An 18,251-nucleotide genomic window follows, 5' to 3' on the forward strand; every position below is an offset into this window, starting at 1 on the left:
TATTTGAATTCCTAAAGCGGCTTTCTTGTAGGATTCATGCCTTTTTTGTTGTTGTTGCTTATCTTGAATTAAACACCCTTGTTTACTGCTAATCAGTACAAACTTAACCACACTCTATTCCTCAAACGGTAAGTTACACTGGAAAGATAATAGATTTGGGACCTCCGATATTGGGGTTTGAATCCCAGTTGTGCTGGGATTTTATTCAAAAAGGTTTGGGGCAAGTTACTTAATCTCTCTGAGTCTTATTTTTTCTGCTCATCTGTGAAATAGATATAAGAGTAGCAAACAATTGGTACTCTCGTGAAAATTAGGAATAGTCACTGTCAGACACGGGTACCCAATAACATTCAATGAGCTGCAGCAATAATTACTCCACAACTGCAAACATTGTTTTTGTAGAGACAGCACACTTTTAAGATTTACCTTGAAATGGATCAGAAAACAAGTAATGCAACAATCCAGAATAGTTTTTGTATTTGAATTGCCTAAGCTGGGTCAAGGGCAGTTATGTTATGTCTATGATTGATGCTTGAGTGTGGAAAATTCTCAAAAGAGCACAAGCTGCATATTACAAAGTTTCCAGTTTTAGAGACTCCTTGGAGAAGGTCACTTAAATTGGTTAGTAGCCATAATATGCAAAACATTAGGATGGAATCTTCACCGAGAGTGAGAACGTGCATACCAAGGCTAATTCCAAAATTATGTCAGCAGCTAGTCTTCTGCTGTTCTCTTTTAGAGCTGGTGCATGAACTAGCATCCTACGTATATCACCCACTCAATCATATAGGTATGTGACAGTGTTTTACTCTTAATGGCTTGGAGACAAGTTTTAAATGTAAAGGTTCTTACTCAAGAAGAGTATGGCATTTGAATGTAGGTGACACCTTTGGAAATTCCCAATTTTTAAAAGCTACTTCTCTAATCTGTTGGTAAGAATTTTCTGTGAGGATCTAACTGTTATACCCATCCTTTTCACAACTTTTCACAAAGTAACCACGTGTTACCTAAAAGACTTAAATTGTATCACTGCTTCATTCTTAACCAGTATACTTGGTATTCTCAAATTCTCAGATTTACTGGTGCAAGAATGTATATATGTTTTCAAATACTCCTGGTATTTTACAAATAGGCTGACAATCCCAAAACTTCTTCCCCCTGCCTTGCTGAATGGGAAGAATATTCAATTTTCCTTGGAATTATTGTTGCCATCCTTGGATGCCTGGCACTTAGATAGGGAATGTGTAATCACATTACAATGTATCTGAAATTATTCAAATGAGAACAAAATTATCTTTTTGTGAGTGTTGTATGGAAAACTATACTTTGCATGCAGAATGTTGCCTCTTTCTCCCCCTTTTTGATATAATAAAGGGCCAGGACACCTTAATACAACCTGTGATGATAATAACAGTATTTAGTGAGCATTTTGCAAGTCATAAACCTGCAATTTATCTCATTTCTTATTTGTGCACACTTCCATTATTTTCAAAACAATCCCCAATTTATAATGTGGAAATTGAGCCTCAGAGAAGCCCACTGACAGGTCCAAGGCCAAATTGTTAGTCAACAATAGGGCTAGCACTGGAAGTCAGATCTTCTCATTTCAAGTGTAACAGAATTTGCTCTTCTCCATGTTGTCTTTGTTTACTTATTCACAGGTTCATTGGTTTATTCAGCAAACATTTACTGAATGTGTGCTGTACACCAGGCACTGTGACAGGCCCTCAAAATACAAATTGCAAATGGATCTCATTACAAAGAAGCTCACTTTGTGGTGAACGAATGGTATAGCTCATTGTAGTAAGTATGGTGGGAACAGAGGGGGGTTGGAGCAATGGCAGGGATAAGGAGGCAGTGGTCATGAAAATTGCTCTAAAGAAGATGATACCAGTGGGGCAGCAGGGAAGAGACCCCAAGCAATTGCTTCCAGCAGCAGGCAGCCTGTCCTGGTCTTGCCAGTGTGCCCAACCAAGGTTATCATTATCTGAGTGCCAAGACATGGAAAAGATTGGAATGCCTCAGCCTGAGGTCAAGGTGAACAGGAGTTACTGAGATGAACAGATGGAGAGAAGCAGCCCAAGGAGAGGGATGAGCTGTATGAAAGTGCAATGTCTTGACTCCTCTGGGAAAGTGTTTGAGTTTTTGTTTGAGCTGAAATAAATGGAGAATATGAAAGGGCAGCTGGAAAATGAACCGAGAGAGATCAGCAGAGACCAGGCATTGAGGGGTTTGTGGTTCTGTGTGCCAAGATAAGGAAAGTGAACTCTATCCTGACAGGCATGGGGAGTCACTCACTAATATTGAAATAATAGGATCAGATTTGGATGTTGGAAAGATTCCTCTCGCCCTGGTGGAAGACCAGATTGAAGGAGCCAGGCGGGATCATGGCAGGAGCCCAGGGGAGATGCGAGGAGTCCTGGGGATTAAGGGAGTAGCAGGGGGGATGGAAAGGCAAAATTCGAGAGATATTTACAGGAGAGACTTCTGGAATGACCACATGGAGTTGGGGGAGTGGGAGCTGGGAGTCTGAAATGTTTCTCAGATTTCTGCCTTGGGTGACTGGGTGGTCGGCAACGGCATTGTCTGAGGAAGGGGGGCAAGGAAGAAGGCCAAGCTTCACTTTGAAGGACGCAGGACATAAAGTGTTTGATTTGGATGTGTTGAGAGTATGTGGTGTTTTCAGGACCTTCCTGTGTAGCTGTTGATGTACTCAGAGATGTCTGATGCAGCTTTTTGCAAAAAGAAAACCGCGATGCGAAATTACTTAGCAACATATTTGGAAAGACAGGGTGTTTTGATATTTTCTCCTCAATGCATTCCTTTTAATGTGGAAAGTCAGTCGCATATAGAAAAAAAAAGAGGTATGTAAATCAATCAATCAATAAGAGTTTTATATAAATCTAACCACAGTATAATATCTTACCACATATATCTAAATATTTTTCCATATGCTCAGCTAATATTATTCAACATGTGATTTTAAAAAAGTGTAAAATACCAGTCTTGAAAGATGAATTATTTAAAAATATTTATTAGTCACACATCCTTAATCCATACTCTATTTACTCTCAGAAAGAAATGTACACCCAAAGGGTGAAGCAGAAAGTAATAGTTTCCTTAAGCGAAGAAACAGAAAGAACAGAGGATCTGTCTGGCGAGCAGCCAGTCAGAGAATATTGAAAAGCTAGAAGTCTCAAGGCAAATCTCTACTAATCCATCTTTTACCAAAGTTCTCACTTAAAGTCCCACCTTTTGACATGAAATATTTAATAGGAGTTTTATTTTAGCCACAAGGTGCCCTTAAAAATTTAATATTGGACTTCATACTAGACTAAAAGAAGGAGTTATTCAGTGACTGAAAAGAAACATGTATGTTAAAAAGAAAAGGAGAAGAAAAAAGGGACTTGTGGAAAGTGCAAAGAAGTTAATGAGAATTTCTATTGAAAACCAAAAGTTAATGACAACACAAAGCTCCTTTCCTATGGAGGACAGATGCTTCATGAAGAACGAATACGTCAATAACGTTCACTTGCTATTGGCATATGGAACCACAGTTGTAATCTGTTGAAATGGCACAAAGACAAAAAATTGTTTTTAAAAACCCACAAAATACAAATAAACAACAACAAAAAAGGCTTTCTTATAGAAAGAGACTCCATTTAATTGGCTTCCACACGCGCCTTCCCAGTTTCAATTCAGCTCCCTAACATGGGATTAACTCCCTCAGAAAGATGGTCTTTGGGGTGCATGTGTGACGGTCATTTGTCTTGCAGCTAAAAATTAGAACATAACAAGCTTCTAATCATCACTTGTTAATTTGAAACAAAAAAATTCTTCTTTCCATTGAAAGCAGATTGTAGTAAGAATTCAGCATTCTCCAAGGTCATATGCTATTGGCAAAGCTCAGAAAAACCTTGTAGTCCAACTTGCTTATGTTCAGCTGTGTTTACTTAGACTTAACGTGACAAAGTCTGCCTCTGATTATACAGAGCAGTCATCTGCCCGCAGATAAATAGATATTACACAAACTTTTGGAGGGAATGACATTTGGCCTCCATAATTCTGGAATAATTTACTATGTACCCTCAACTTAAAACAACAAAATGATTCACAATATGTTTTTGGGATTGAAACATAAATATTTCATTTTACAAAGGGAGCAGTCTCCATGACCTTTATGGATTTTAGATGATTTACTAACAAAGTATGGTATTACTTTGGAAGGTGTGGAGTAGCCCTAAAGCAGGCAGTTTCAGGCAACATTTATTTCAGTCTTTTCAATAACCATCAAGATTTCAAGGAATTTCTGTAAACAAACTGTCACTTAAACAAAATAACTTTCCATCAATTTTTGCAACAAGTCTCCAGAACAGAACATGCATATAAAAATAAGAGTTACCTAAATTATTTCCAGAGACTACATCTTGGAGTAATGTTTACACTATCGGTAAAAATCAAAAGCTCAATGTTTTACCACTGTATCTTACACTAAATGCAAAATTGTGCTTTTGGAATAATGTAAACCATTTCTGCTGAATAGAGCCTGTTCCTCATTACCCAAGAATCGATTCTGGCCCTTCATGCTTTCTTTGCTTGCTGTTATATCTACATAACAAAAGATAGACATACTTTCCTCTTTAAACTAAGAGTGTTTCAAAGGTGGAAGTACTTATTATACTCCCTAGTGATCGATCAATAAACCGATCAATCAACAGATTTTCATTGCATTTCGTTAACAGCTAGTAATACAGTAGTGAACAAGAGGAAGGTGGTTTGTGTCCTCTGAAGTTTACTTAGCGAGAAAAATCATCCACTAAACACATACTCTCATTTTCTAGGTTGTTCATTTTAATTTATACAATAATAAAATGTTTTCCCCTACCAAAATTAACACATTGTCTTCCCTGACTCCTGTTCTGTAATTTTTTTAAAAAATTTTAATTTTTGTGGGTACATAGTAGGTGTATATACCTATTTTATTATTGAATAAACTTAGGGATGAAGCCCTTCATTTGGAGTAGTGGTCTGTTAAAGTAGCCACAAATAATTTCCTAGGCTGGATGCCTCTAGCAGTTCAGGCTATGTCTACAAAGGGGTTAAGTTTTTAATGGATTCACTTAATTGTTTCTATTTTGACTTTTATTCTAATTTACTAAATCTGCTTTGATAAGCACTCTGTGAAGTTAGTTAACGTAAGTGATGACACTGCTACTGTTGGAACAATTGCTACGTAACGTTTTAATAAACAAGGGTTTTCAAAGGACTTTCCCTCTAAAGAACTGAAGCGGTGCACATCACGGCACGCAGCGCATTCTCACGTGATTTTATCTCATTATGTTTGAGCTTTGAGAGTCACAAAAGATGATTTTATATATATATATATATATGTATAAAATTATAAAATATAACAGGTTTTACTATAGATAATATATATAAAATACATAAGTATATAAAAGATTAAAATTATATATAAAAGGTGTATAAATATATAATATAATATATAAAAGATATATTATATTTAATATCTTTGTATGTTTATTTAGATATATAGATATAAAATAATGTATAAATGTATATATAATATAAAATTATTGTTTTTAATATTAAAAATAATTAATATTAAAATAATAATATATTTATATATTATATACTAATATATTAATATGTTATTTTATATTGTATAAATATATTAATTTATATTTATATTGTATATGACATATTTATATTATATTATATTATATAGAGAATTATATATTATATATAAATTATAATATAAATATACATAATATAAAAATAAGTTTACAGTTATTTTGTGTGTGTGTGTGTGTATATATATATATATATATACACAAAGAAGGAATGTTTTCAAATGTACATGTGTATATATATACACACACAAACACACACACAAAAAGAAGGAATATGTTTTCAAATATGCTTTCCTTTAAGGTCAGTAAGCTAATCCACAGCCTGTCTGGAGACTAGAATGTCCTCCTCCTACCAATCTCCAGGAGAGAATACATTAAGACCTCATTAGCTTTCAATGCAAAACTGATCTCCACTCCTTCCACAAAGGGCAAATTCCTTCTATTCAAAGTTAGCTGTAGAACTGAATCCAGGAAAATGAGGGAGTACAAAACTCTCTTCTGAAGCCAGGCACGGACAAAGCCAAAAGCATCTCCCAAAGCCACTGATAGGCCAGGAAGCCAAGGGAAAAGGCTGCTGCTGGAAAAACAACTTTCCCAGCTGGATACGAGGTCCTAAGAGAGAGAGCTGTCTAAATACGAAGGTTAGTGGTATTAGGAGACACAGGGACATACCAATGACCACACATATTACTTTTCAAGCTAGATGCCTGCATGGGAGGTGCAGGGTGGGGGCAGTTGATATGTAACTAAAAACCCTTGAAGGAGTGAAGCCACTTGCTGGTGGTTTCTTAAAAAGGAAAAGCAAATTTGCAAATTTTATCAGATTGGAGCAGGACACAAAACTCTGCACAGAAACTAGTTATGGAAGCTCATTTTTCAAAAGGAATACAAACATCCTACATACCGAAGTTATTATATATTCAGTCAAGGCTATCAGGAGGCAGTGTTGTGTCTAAGGGTGAAAGAAGAACCACTGTCCTATCTCTAAACATGTAGTTCATTCTCTACCAAATTTAATGCAAGAGAAGGAAAGAGAAGGAAATTTAATGCAGGATCGCAGATCAGAATTAGTTTGCAGAAGACTTACAGCTGAATCAAACTTCTATGGCCTTCTCAATGTTAACCAAAGTGGAGGGGTGGGCGGGGGAAAGGAAAGATTTTCACAACAAAAAATCTTGAAAAATCTCCTATATTTTCTGGTTTCATTTTTCCCAGAACTGAAACACCACAAAATAACAACATGCCAGTGCACTCACTTCCAGCTCAGTCAGGAAGTTCTGAGGTACATAAACATTTTTTATTTCACTTTTTTACAAGAAGGTGACCAACATTTTCTTAGGCTTCCGAAAAGCTTCAGGTTTGGAATACATTTTGGTTAAATGTCAGCAAAGGAATTTGCTCATCGTTCAAAAAACACTTTTTCTTTCCAGCCTTGGAGTATATGTAGAAAATGGAATTACAAAAAGGCGCAGGACCACAAAGGGAAGTCCAGTTTTTTAATTCCTAAAAGAGTGCCATAGAAGAGCATTCTCTGTAGGAGGAAAAAGGAATAACAAGGAACTCTTATATAGCACAGTTTACCAAGTGCTTTCTCCATCGTTATCATATTGGAACCTTGAAACAGCCCTGGGAGGTGGGTATTTGTATTGCCTTCATTTTATAGAGATGAATGTAAATCAGAGAAATTAAATGTTTCACCTAATGTTTTTCAGTGATTGGCAGAGAGAAAAATTGGAACCCAGGTCCTCAAAGTCTAAAACCATAATATGAGCAGGCATTGATTGAAACCTGAAGGCCAGCAACTTACATAACACCACTAAGGTCAATGGAAGTAAAATTCAATGCAATAAGCTAGAGAAAGACATCTATGGAAAAAAAAAATAAAAGAGGTGGTAAAATCATCACTCTTTGCAAATATGATTGTACTGCTAGAAAACACAGAAAAATCAACTAAAAGACTTCCAAGTTGGCAGGGCTTGGTGGCTCATACCTGTAATCCCAACACTTTGGGAGGCCGTAGCGGGCGGATCACTTGAGGTCAGGAGTTCATGACCAGCCTGGCCAACATGGTGAAACCCCATCTCTACTAAAAAATACAAAAATTATCCAGGCATGGTGGCGTGCACCTATAATCCCAACTACTCAGGAGGCTGAGGCAGGAGAATCGCTTGAACCCAGGAGATGGAGGTTTCAGTGAGCCCAGATTGTACCATTGCCCTCCAGCCTGGGCAACAGAGCGAGACTCTGTATCCAAAAAAAGACTACCAAAATGATCAGCAAATTTATGATGGTAGCAAAATACAAGAAAACACAGAAAAATAAACTAAAAGACTACCAAAATGATAAGCAAATTTATGATGGTAGCAGAATACAATATTAATATATAGAAATGTATGGCTTTCTTATATAAAAAGCAGTTAGAAAATGCGATGGAAGAAAGGACCTGCTTATAACAATAAAACAAACAGATAAAATGCATAGGGATAATTTTATAAGAAGTGTTCAAGGCCAATTTAGAACATCTTAAAACACTGTTAAAAGTGACATAAGAGGACATGAACAGACATACCAAGTGTTTGGATAAGAGGATTCTACATCCTAGAAATATTGATTTTTCTATAATTACTTTGTAAATGTAACACAATTTCATTAAAAGTAACAAAAGCATTTTTTAAATAGACAAGTTGTCCCTAAAGTTAATATGCAAAAATAAGCTAAGACTGGCTAGAAAAACTGTGAAAAAAGAACAATGAGGAAGAATAAGCACAACCAGACATTAAACATATCCTAAAACCTCCATAATTAAAACAGGATAGGACAGAAACATGAGTAAAAAGAAAAATTAATAGAAGAGAATAGAAAGACAAGACCAAAGAAAAATTAATAGAAGAGAATAGAAAGACAAGACCAACTCAATTTAAAATATGGTATTTCCAATTAGGGAGGACAAGAAAGACTGGGCAATAAATGGTGTTAGAATAACTGGGTAACTGTGGAAAAAAATAAAGTTGGACATTTTTGTCACACCATATTATACTATACCTCAAACGAAGATATTCCAAATTGATGAAAGATGTGAAGTGAAAATTGAGACCATAGAAATCCTTGAAGAAAACTTGCAATACTCCCTTTAAAGTTTTAAAATGAGGAAGTTCTCGCTATCACTTAAATTCTAGAAGCTATAAAAAATAATCAGTGTAATTACATTTCAAAATGGCTACATAAGGAAAAAATCTTTATTAAAATAAATATATACAATGATATATAACTAATTTGGGCAAAATATTTGTTAATGAATATTACAGGCTCATCTCCCTCCATAAAGAGCTGTTCAAATTAATAAAACATTATCCATCAGAGTCCGTATCAAAAGAAATATGAATATGTGCACACAGGAAAATGGAATTATGAATGGCCCTTAAACATACAGAGGTGCTCAGACTCATTCTTCACCAATCAGATGGATAAAATAATTAATGAGTTTAATGACACTGCATCTACAGGCTGTAAGAAAACAAGGATTCTCATCCTTAGTTGAGTGCAAACAGATTCCGGGCCTACAGAGAGCTACTTGGAATTGGGATTGAATGCTACACAGCTGTAAAAAAAAGAATGTGAATACTCTCCATGTGCTATTATGGAAACATCTCTAGCATACATTATTAAATTTAAAATCTCAAAGTAAAGGGATATATATCTGTTTTTTTTGTTTGTTTGTTTTATACAGAGTGAGTCTTACTCTGTCACCCAAGCTGGAGTGCAGTGGCACGGTCATACCTCAGTGCAGACTCAAACTTCTGGGCTCAAGCGATCCTACTGCCTCAGCCTCCTGAGTAGCTGGGACTACAGGTGTGCACCACCATGCCTGGCTGATTTTTAAATTTTTTGTGGAGACAAAGTCTCACTATGGTGCCCAGGCTGGTCTTGAACTCATGGCCCCAAGCAATCCTATCACTTCGGCCTCCCAGAGTTCTGAGAATACAAGTGTAAGCCACCATGTCCAGCCATATGCTACCTTTTTAAAAAAGGTAAAACAAAGTAATTTTTTATTGTTAGTATCTGGACAGAGTACCAACTGTGGCTATCACTATTGTTTTTTCTGGCTATGAGATAAATACACTAGTCATCATAGTCCAAATCAAAGACAAATAATTCTAGCCTATTAGCAGCCTGTATGATCTGAAATCGTTTTGATGAAGACTTTCTTTAAAAAATGGTGGCAAAATATACATAACATAAAATGTATCATTTTAACCATTTTTAACTGTGCAGTTCTGTGGCATTAAGTACATTCACATGGTTGTGCAACCATTACCACTATCCATCTCCAGAAATGTTTTCACCTTCGAGACTGAAACTTGATATTCATTAAACTATCACTCCTCATTCCTCCCTCCCCCAGCCCTGAGTGACCACCATTTTTTTTCTGTCTCTATGAATTTGACTATTCTAGGTACCTCATACAAGTGGAACAATACCATATTTGTCATTCTGTGACTGACTTATTTCACTTAGCACAATGTCTTGAAAGTATATCTATGTTGTAGCATGTGTCAGAATTTCCTTCCTCTTTAAGGCTGAATAATATTCAAATATATATATATATATCACATTTTGTTTGTCCATTCTTCTGTCGATGGACAACTGGGCTGCTTCCACATTTTGATTGTTATAAATAATGCTGCTACAAACATGGGTATACAAATATTTGTTTCAGTCCCTGACTTTAACTCTTGCTGGTATGTACCCAGAAGGTGCATTGCTGGATCATATGTCAACTCTATTTTTAATTTTTTGAAGAAACACCATACTGTTTTCCATAGCTGTGCCATTTACAATCCCAGCAGTGCTCAAGGGTCCTGATTTTTCCCCATCCTTGCCAACCCTCGTTAATTCCTGTGTGTGTGTGTGTGTGTGTGTGTGTGTGTGTGTTTAATAATAGCCATCCTAGTGGGTGTGAGGTGGTATATCATTGTAGTTTTCATCTGCATTTCTCTAATGATTGGTAATGCTGAGCATCTTTTCATGTGCTTATTAACTATTTGTATATCTTCTTTGGAAAAATGTCTATTCAAGCCCTTTGCTCATTTTAATTGAGGTGTTTCTTTTTTTGTTGTTGAGTTGAATGGCCTACCTTTGATATAAAAGAGGGGAAAAGAAGTATCTATATTTATACTTGCTCTTAAATCCATAAAGAATCTCTGTAAGAATATAATAACAGTTAAATATTTTAAAGATGTATTTAGATGAGATCTCTCTGTCCCGTGCTGTATGCACCCTGTATTTCTGTGTGGCATTTTGCACACTTCCTTGTTCTATGCTCATCTACCACAAAGCACTGTTCGTCATGGTCACCGCGTCAGCCCCAACTCACAGAAGAAAGGATTCTCAATGATTATTTGTTAACAGATTGATGAACTGATGGGGAGAGATTAATTTAATACTTTAGCATACAGCGTGTTATTAGGATGCTAAACTGTCAGGTGACAAAATAGCAGTCCCTTTGGAAAGCAAAAAGATGTGCCCCAGGGGGTTAAAAAAGTGGGATCAGGACTGCATTATGACTTTCATCAGCTCTAGGTACTTGTGCTTTGGTGCACTCTTTCCTACATAAAAAAAATTAAAAATGATATTTTACAAATGCATTGGTCTATAGGTGCATATAATCCAGGCTTATGATGTATTCATTATTATTGCATTCATTTTTCTTTTGATTAAAAAAACGAAATTGAAATATTTTCATGGGTCCTGGGCACCATGCTACTGTGCCTAACTTGGGAAGTTGGCCTTGGGTAAGGTAACCCAGGAAAAAATAGTGGGTGTGGGTATCTCTTAAAGAAATCAGGTCTGTAATGCCCAAGGTCGTGGTCCTGGGTAATTAGGAGGCAACATGAGGACGCGGGAACCCAGCACTGCTGTGGAAAGGGGAGGTATTAATAAAAGCAACATAAAAATTCAGCCTCTTCCAGGCTTGCCGCCCTGCGTCCACACTGCTGCATCCTCTCTGACAGTTACTGGCGGCAACACTTAGCATCTATTGGCACTAAGTATGGGTTAATTCTGCAAAGCTAACTTAATAAGTTTTGAATTTCAAAGAAAAATGAAAATAAAATAGAACTTTCCTTCCACCCAAACTGAAATGTTCCTCTAGCTAATCCATTTGTGTTTTTAAGGGAATTTTATTTTTTAAAAAGCATATTTTTCTAAATGGAAGCTTATATCCTCTAAACAAAAATGCTTCTGTTTGAAAGTACAGTGACTTAATGTCACACAAGTGTAGATGAAGGTAAACAGGTCTCTGCATTATTCTATCAGAAGTGAGCAGGTTAAACCAAAGCCAACTTTGTATCCTTAAAATAGTGGGAGAGTGGGAGATGGTAACCTTTATACATTTTCTAAATAACGTTCTTCTACATTTTGTTCTTAAAGAAGGAAACTGTTACTTCTCTTAGTTGATTTAATTTAAAAAAAACTAAGAAATCCTTCCAACCATAGAATATTGAAATATTTAACAGCCAGTATGGCATTCACACCAAACAATCACAAGAGATGCTGGCCGTAGAGAACTCAGAGCGACAACTGGTGCATCCTGGCAAGTATCTCACCCCTTGTAAAAAGTACTTTACTTCTCACTTCACACTTTTTTTTCCCTGGTTTAGCTCACTGACCATCACAAGGCCTTCTCCCGTATACCTAAGCCCACAGAAATTAATAATGGTTTATTGTGCACCATTAATGTATTTGTTCATTTATTCATCTATACATTTTCTATTTCTTTAATGCATCAAAAAATTGACTATAGGCCGGGCGCGGTTGCTCATGGCTGTAATCTCAGCACTTTGGGAGGCCGAGGTGGGCAGATCACGAGGTCAGGAGATCGAGACCATTCTGACCAACATGGTGAAACCCCATCTCCTTTAAAATAAAAAAATTAGCTGAGCGTGGTGGCGTGCGCCTCTAGTCTCAGCTACTTGGGAGGCTGAGGCAAGAGAATCACTTGAACCGGGAGGCAGAGGTTGCAGTGAGCCAGGATGATGCCACTGCACTCCAGCCTGGGTGACAGAGCGAGACTTCTTTTCAAAAAAAAAAAAACGACTATTGCCAGATAATATGTCGAGTACCAGGGATGAATGAGACAAATCTATACAGTTGGAACTCCATGTCTGCATCTGCAGATCCAACCAACAGTGAATCGAAAAATATTTGGAAAAAAATAAACAATAAAAAGCAGCAATACCGGTTGGGTGCAGTGGCTCACGCCTGTAATCCTAGCACTTTGGGAGGCTGAGGCAGGTGAATCACCTGAGGTCAGGAGTTCGAGACCAGCCTGGCCAGCATGGTGAAACCCCGTCTGTACTAAAGATAAAAAAATTAGCTGGGCATGGTGGTGGCTGCCTGTAATCCCAGCTACTTGGGAGGCTGAGGCAGGAGAATCACTTGAATCTGGGAGGTGGATGTTGCAGTGAGCTGAAATTGTGCCACTGCACTCCAGCCTGGGTGACAAAGCGAGACTCTGTCTCAAAAGAAAAAAGTAAATAAATAAACAACAATACAACAAAAAATACAGATAAAAAATACAGTTTATAATACAAAAAAATACAAATTAAAAATAGCAACTATTTCCATAGCATTTACATTGTATTAGGTACTATAAGTGATCTAGAGATGATTTAAAGGATACAGGGGGATGCGTGCAGGTCACATGCAAATACTATGCCATTTTACATAAGAGACTTGAGCATCTGTGGATTTTGGTATTGGTGGCAGAAGTAGGGTAAGTTCCTGGAACCAAGCCTCCCAAGATACAGAGGGATGACTGTACTGTAGGGTAGTCAACATTTAATGAGGCGAACAAACCAGTTCTTCGCACTGATTTCTGGTAGGACTGGTAACAATAGCAAAACAAGGGTGAGCTGATCTGAGGATGTGGCTCTGTTCCACATGTGTGAGTGGCCATGAAGACAGCAGGGCTTCCTGAAGATGAAGATCCTGTGCCCCTCTGGAGTGGGATGAAAGGGATACTAGCCAGTTTTAAGCCAAATTAAACTCTGACTTCCCTCTCGATGCCTCTTCTTTAATATGAGTTATAATAAAAGCCCTTTCCATAAATTTCCTCCCACCACCACCACCATTTGGGAAGCCCCGTGACTCTAAGGCAGTGCTGTCAATAGAATTATAATGTGAGCTACATGCAAACCACATAAGTCATTTAACATGTTCTAGTAGATGCACTTACAGTAGAAAGAAAAAGTGAAAGTATTTTTAATAAAATATTTTATTTAACCCAATATATACAAAATAGTATCATTTTAACATGTAATTAGTATAGAAATTATCAATGAGATATTTTCCATGCTTTCTTTTCTCATATATTTAAACATATCTCAATTTGGACTAGTCATATTTCACATGCTGGGTTGCCTCATGTGGCTATTGGCTACCATATCAGACAGCACAATTCTAAGGGCTCTCTAGGCAGAATGAACAAGTGAACCACTCTGTGGGCTGTTCCTTAAATTTCATAGTGACATAGTGAATCCTGAGGATGCCTCAGAAGTTCAGAGATGCCATAGTTTCCTATAGCATTCCTGTGGAAGCAGAGATTCCTAGAATTGTCCTGCAATGAAAAAGTTGAAGATGAGCTAGGGCTTGATTTGTGGCCACATACTTTGCTTCCTATTCTTGATCCCTGGTTTAAAGTAACTTCTTATTCTGGATTCACTACTGACTGGTCACAAGGACTGGATTCCCCCTCTCACCAGCTCATCTTTAGTTTCTGCATTAGCATGAGAGGGACACACTCCCCAATGTCCTCCAATAGATCAATCAGAGAGTAAGCTAAAGCCTAAGGCCCAGAAGGGACTCCTCCTCTGGGGGCAGCATGGGCAGGGCCAATTCCCAGTTTGAGAATTTCTACCTTTTCCACACAACTGCAGAATTGGCAATGGGTCTAATTCCATTTCTGGTCTATCTCTAACTCCATATTTCTGCTAGTTTTTAATTTTTTATTTTTATTTATTGATTGATTGAGATAAAGTCTTGCTCTGTCACCCAATCTGGAGTGCAGTGGTATGATCTGGGCTCACTGCAACTTCCACCTCCTAGGTTCAAGTGATTCTTGTGCCTCAGCCTCCAAGTAGCTGGGATTAGAGGCATGAGTCACTACATATGGGCTAATTTTTGTATTTTTAGTAGAGATGGGGTTTCACCATGTTGGCCAGGCTGGTCTCAAACTCCTGACCTCAAGTGATCTGCCTGCCTCGGCCTCTCAAAGTGCTGGGATTACAGCCGTAAGCCACTGTGCTCAGCCAGTTTTTGTTTGTAAACATTTGTGCTTACCAATTATATTTATAAGTCATATTATTGGACTGGCAAGAGTTTCCTTTAGAAACGTGTTCAATCTTAGCCCAATCATATCATTACTTTTCAAGTAAGATGATAATAATTTTTTTGTACTATCCATCACAGGTATGAATAAAACTAGATGTGCTAGAATACCCTGGAAACAGAGATAAATCCCAGGCAACAGTGCTTTAAAGTCACAGACCACCAACAAGAAGAGAAGCTTCATCACTGGGAAAAGAATGCATCTCTCAGAATAACATAGCTTCATATTTGAATCAAATTAAAAATACATTAATATTTTAAAACATTTCTTTCCTAAAAGCACTATCTACTCTTAAAATGCTATTTTATGTCATTATCTATTCTTATTTCATAATTGTCACTTTTTTCTTTTCTTTCTTCCTTTCCTTCTTTCCTTCTTTCTTTCTTTCTTTTCTCTTTCTTTCTTTCTTTCTTTCTTTCTTTCTTTCTTTCTTTCTTTCTTTCTTTCTCTCTCTCTCTCTTCTTTCCTTCCTTCCTTCCTTCCTTCCTTCCTTCCTTCCTTCCTTTTTCTTTCTTTCTTTTGTTCTCTTTTCTTTCTTTCTTTTTTTCTTTTTTTTTCTGGGTCTTGCTTTATTGTCCAGGCTGGAGCGCAGTCGCACAGTCATAGCTTACTGCAGCTTCGAACTCCTGGGCTCAAGTGACCCTGCTGCCTCAATCCCTCCCCAGTAGCCGAAACTACAGGCGCCCACCGCCGTGCTCAGCTAATTTTTAAAACTCTTTTTTTTTTTTTAATAGAAATGGGGTCTCGGTATGTTGCCCAGACTGGTCTTGAACTCCTAGCCTCAAGCAATCCTCCTGCTCTTGGGTGCTGGGATTACAGGCATGAACAACTGTGTTCATCCTTCACTTTTTCTTATAAAACAGGTATCATTTCCCATAAAGGACAAGAAGCAGGTAGACTGATAAGCATGAACCAAGGTAGATTTTTGTTGGATCAACTGACCTGTTTTCTTTTTTCCTAGAAGTTTCCATACCAACCTCTGCTTCTAGATTGGCCAGGTGAAGGAGACGGGCAGGGCCATAAGCATGGGATCCCGTGGTGCCCCACACCAGCTGTCCTGGCTTGGATACAGCTCTGGAGTGGTCAAAAGAGCGCTCTGTCCCTAATCATCAACTCTGCTCCAAAAAGGAACCTGAAAAAAGCTCTAAACTCACAGATCCAAGAAGCCCAGACATTCCCATTGCTGTCTTCGAATGGGATTCTAAAGCCAGGGGGATGATGTTTTAGGGAATCCTTGAAACTCCTACAATTATAAACAGGTGTGCATGAAGAAAATACACTACCATTTAATGTCCCAAACGCCTTATAAGGAAGGTGAAGGGGACCTAGAAAGCCCCTTAAGTTCGCTTAGCATCTCAGTAAGTGGTCTGAGCATGGAACAGAGTTTGGGAGTTGAAGCAGGAGAGACCTGGGTTACACTACAGGTAAAGAACATGGGATTTTGAGGCAACTGGGGATTAGGAGGTAAAAGGAAAAGGTGGGAGGGGGAAGAGTAGAACCAGTGAGGTGCTGTGAGGCTGGAGACCCTGGGAGGTGAAGCAGGCAAGGAAGAGTCCCATGTCGGGGTGGCCAAAGGGCACTAAAGAATGAAGACAAGTAGTGCTCTGTAGGAAATCATATAAACTGCTGTGCCCAGGCACAGTGGCTCAGGCCTGTCATCCCAACACTTTGGGATGCAGAGGTGGGAGGATTTCTTGAGGCCAGGAGTTTGAGACAAAACACGACAAGACCCCGTCTCTACAAATAAAATGTTAGCAAGGTGCAGTGGTGAGTGCCTGTGGTCCTAGCTACTAGAGAAGCTGAGGTGGGGGGACGGCTTGAGCCCCAGAGCTCAAGGTGGCAGTGAGCCATGATCATGCCATTGCACTGCAGCCTGGATGACAGAGCAAGGCCCTGTCTCTAAAAAAAAACAACAATAATAAAGTCATATGAATTGCTGTGATGGAAGGTCCTCCTTCACTCCCTCTGAATCTTCCTTCAACTGTACCACGTGCACAAGCTTTCCGAGAGTGGGGATCTTCTGGCGTTTGAGGAAGGGAGTATATTTCACATCTGAATCCACGCGATGAGGAACAGGGAGCACATATGTGGAATGGCAACACGACCCAAGCACCAAATATACCATATGCTTAGAAGATGGAGCCCTTGGGCATCTCTAGAAATCTTCAGAAGTGTCTGACCTTCCATAGTGTGCAATCAAGTATTTAAGGGATTGCTATTTAGATCAAAAGGATCAGAGATACCCTTGTTGCCATCTGGGCTACACAACAGTGTCTATGTGTTTGTGTGGGTTTAAGGGGGTGGATGTGCATTTTTCTGAAGAAGGATGCAAGGCTTTTTACCCAATTTTTAAAGCAGTCCATGTACAAAAGGAAGTTAAGAGTGACTGCTTTAGAGAGTTCTATTCCGTAAATGATTTTTTTATTTTGAGTTGACTTAACCAGGATGGAAAACACAGTAAAATCAAGTGGAAAGAGCCTGAACCAGGAGCTTAGAGACTTAAATTTTCTTTCTGGCTCTGCCATTAAGTAGCTGTGCAAGAGATGATCACTCCCTCCCACCCTGCATGAAAGCAGGAATAATTATCCTTATTTTTACCTCATAGAGTTATAATGAGGATCAAATAAAATAACAGATGTTCAGGTACTTTCTACAGTACACAGTGCAACACAATATACGGTATTATTAGATCTAATCTGGCATTAGATTTGCTAATCTAATACCAGAATAGTAAGTACAAAAATGACCTTAGTAAAAATATTTTTACAATTCAACCGTGGATACCATGGATGTTATTGCCCTCTTCTTGCCATGATAAACAATGGCGTTCTGCTTTAGATGATATTTTCATCATACATTCAACATTTGGAGTTTCACTGTGTTCTAGCCTCACTTTACAACTTCTATTTTGTGACTTTTCTTACTTCTCACCTGCTCCTCTGTAGGCGAGTACAGCAAATTTGTGCAAAGACCAAAAAAAAAAAAAAAAAAAAGAGGCTTTGCTTGCTTTTTCTCTGCATGGCAACAGGCATGACATTTGATCTGACACAGGGATTAAGTCATTCATGAGTGGAGCCCAAAGGGAGGAACAGCTCCAAAAAGCAACCAGGCTCGCTGGTACTACAACATCCAGAAATTCACAGTCGCTTCTGCTACAGTTATAATTTGTAGTCTGTCTGGCACTGAGAAATCTAACTGCAGTCTCTGTGGTT

At 38.0% G+C, this 18,251-nt stretch overlaps 1 protein-coding gene across 7 annotated transcripts in view; it reads right to left on the reverse strand.

The window, feature by feature from the left end:
- Positions 1–18,251, reverse strand: part of MKX (mohawk homeobox) — a 72,946-nt gene that overhangs the window by 23,124 nt on the left and 31,571 nt on the right. The window lies entirely within an intron of this gene.

This window comes from Homo sapiens, chromosome 10, assembly GCF_000001405.40.
Source record: "Homo sapiens chromosome 10, GRCh38.p14 Primary Assembly".
Lineage (NCBI taxonomy): Eukaryota > Metazoa > Chordata > Mammalia > Primates > Hominidae > Homo > Homo sapiens.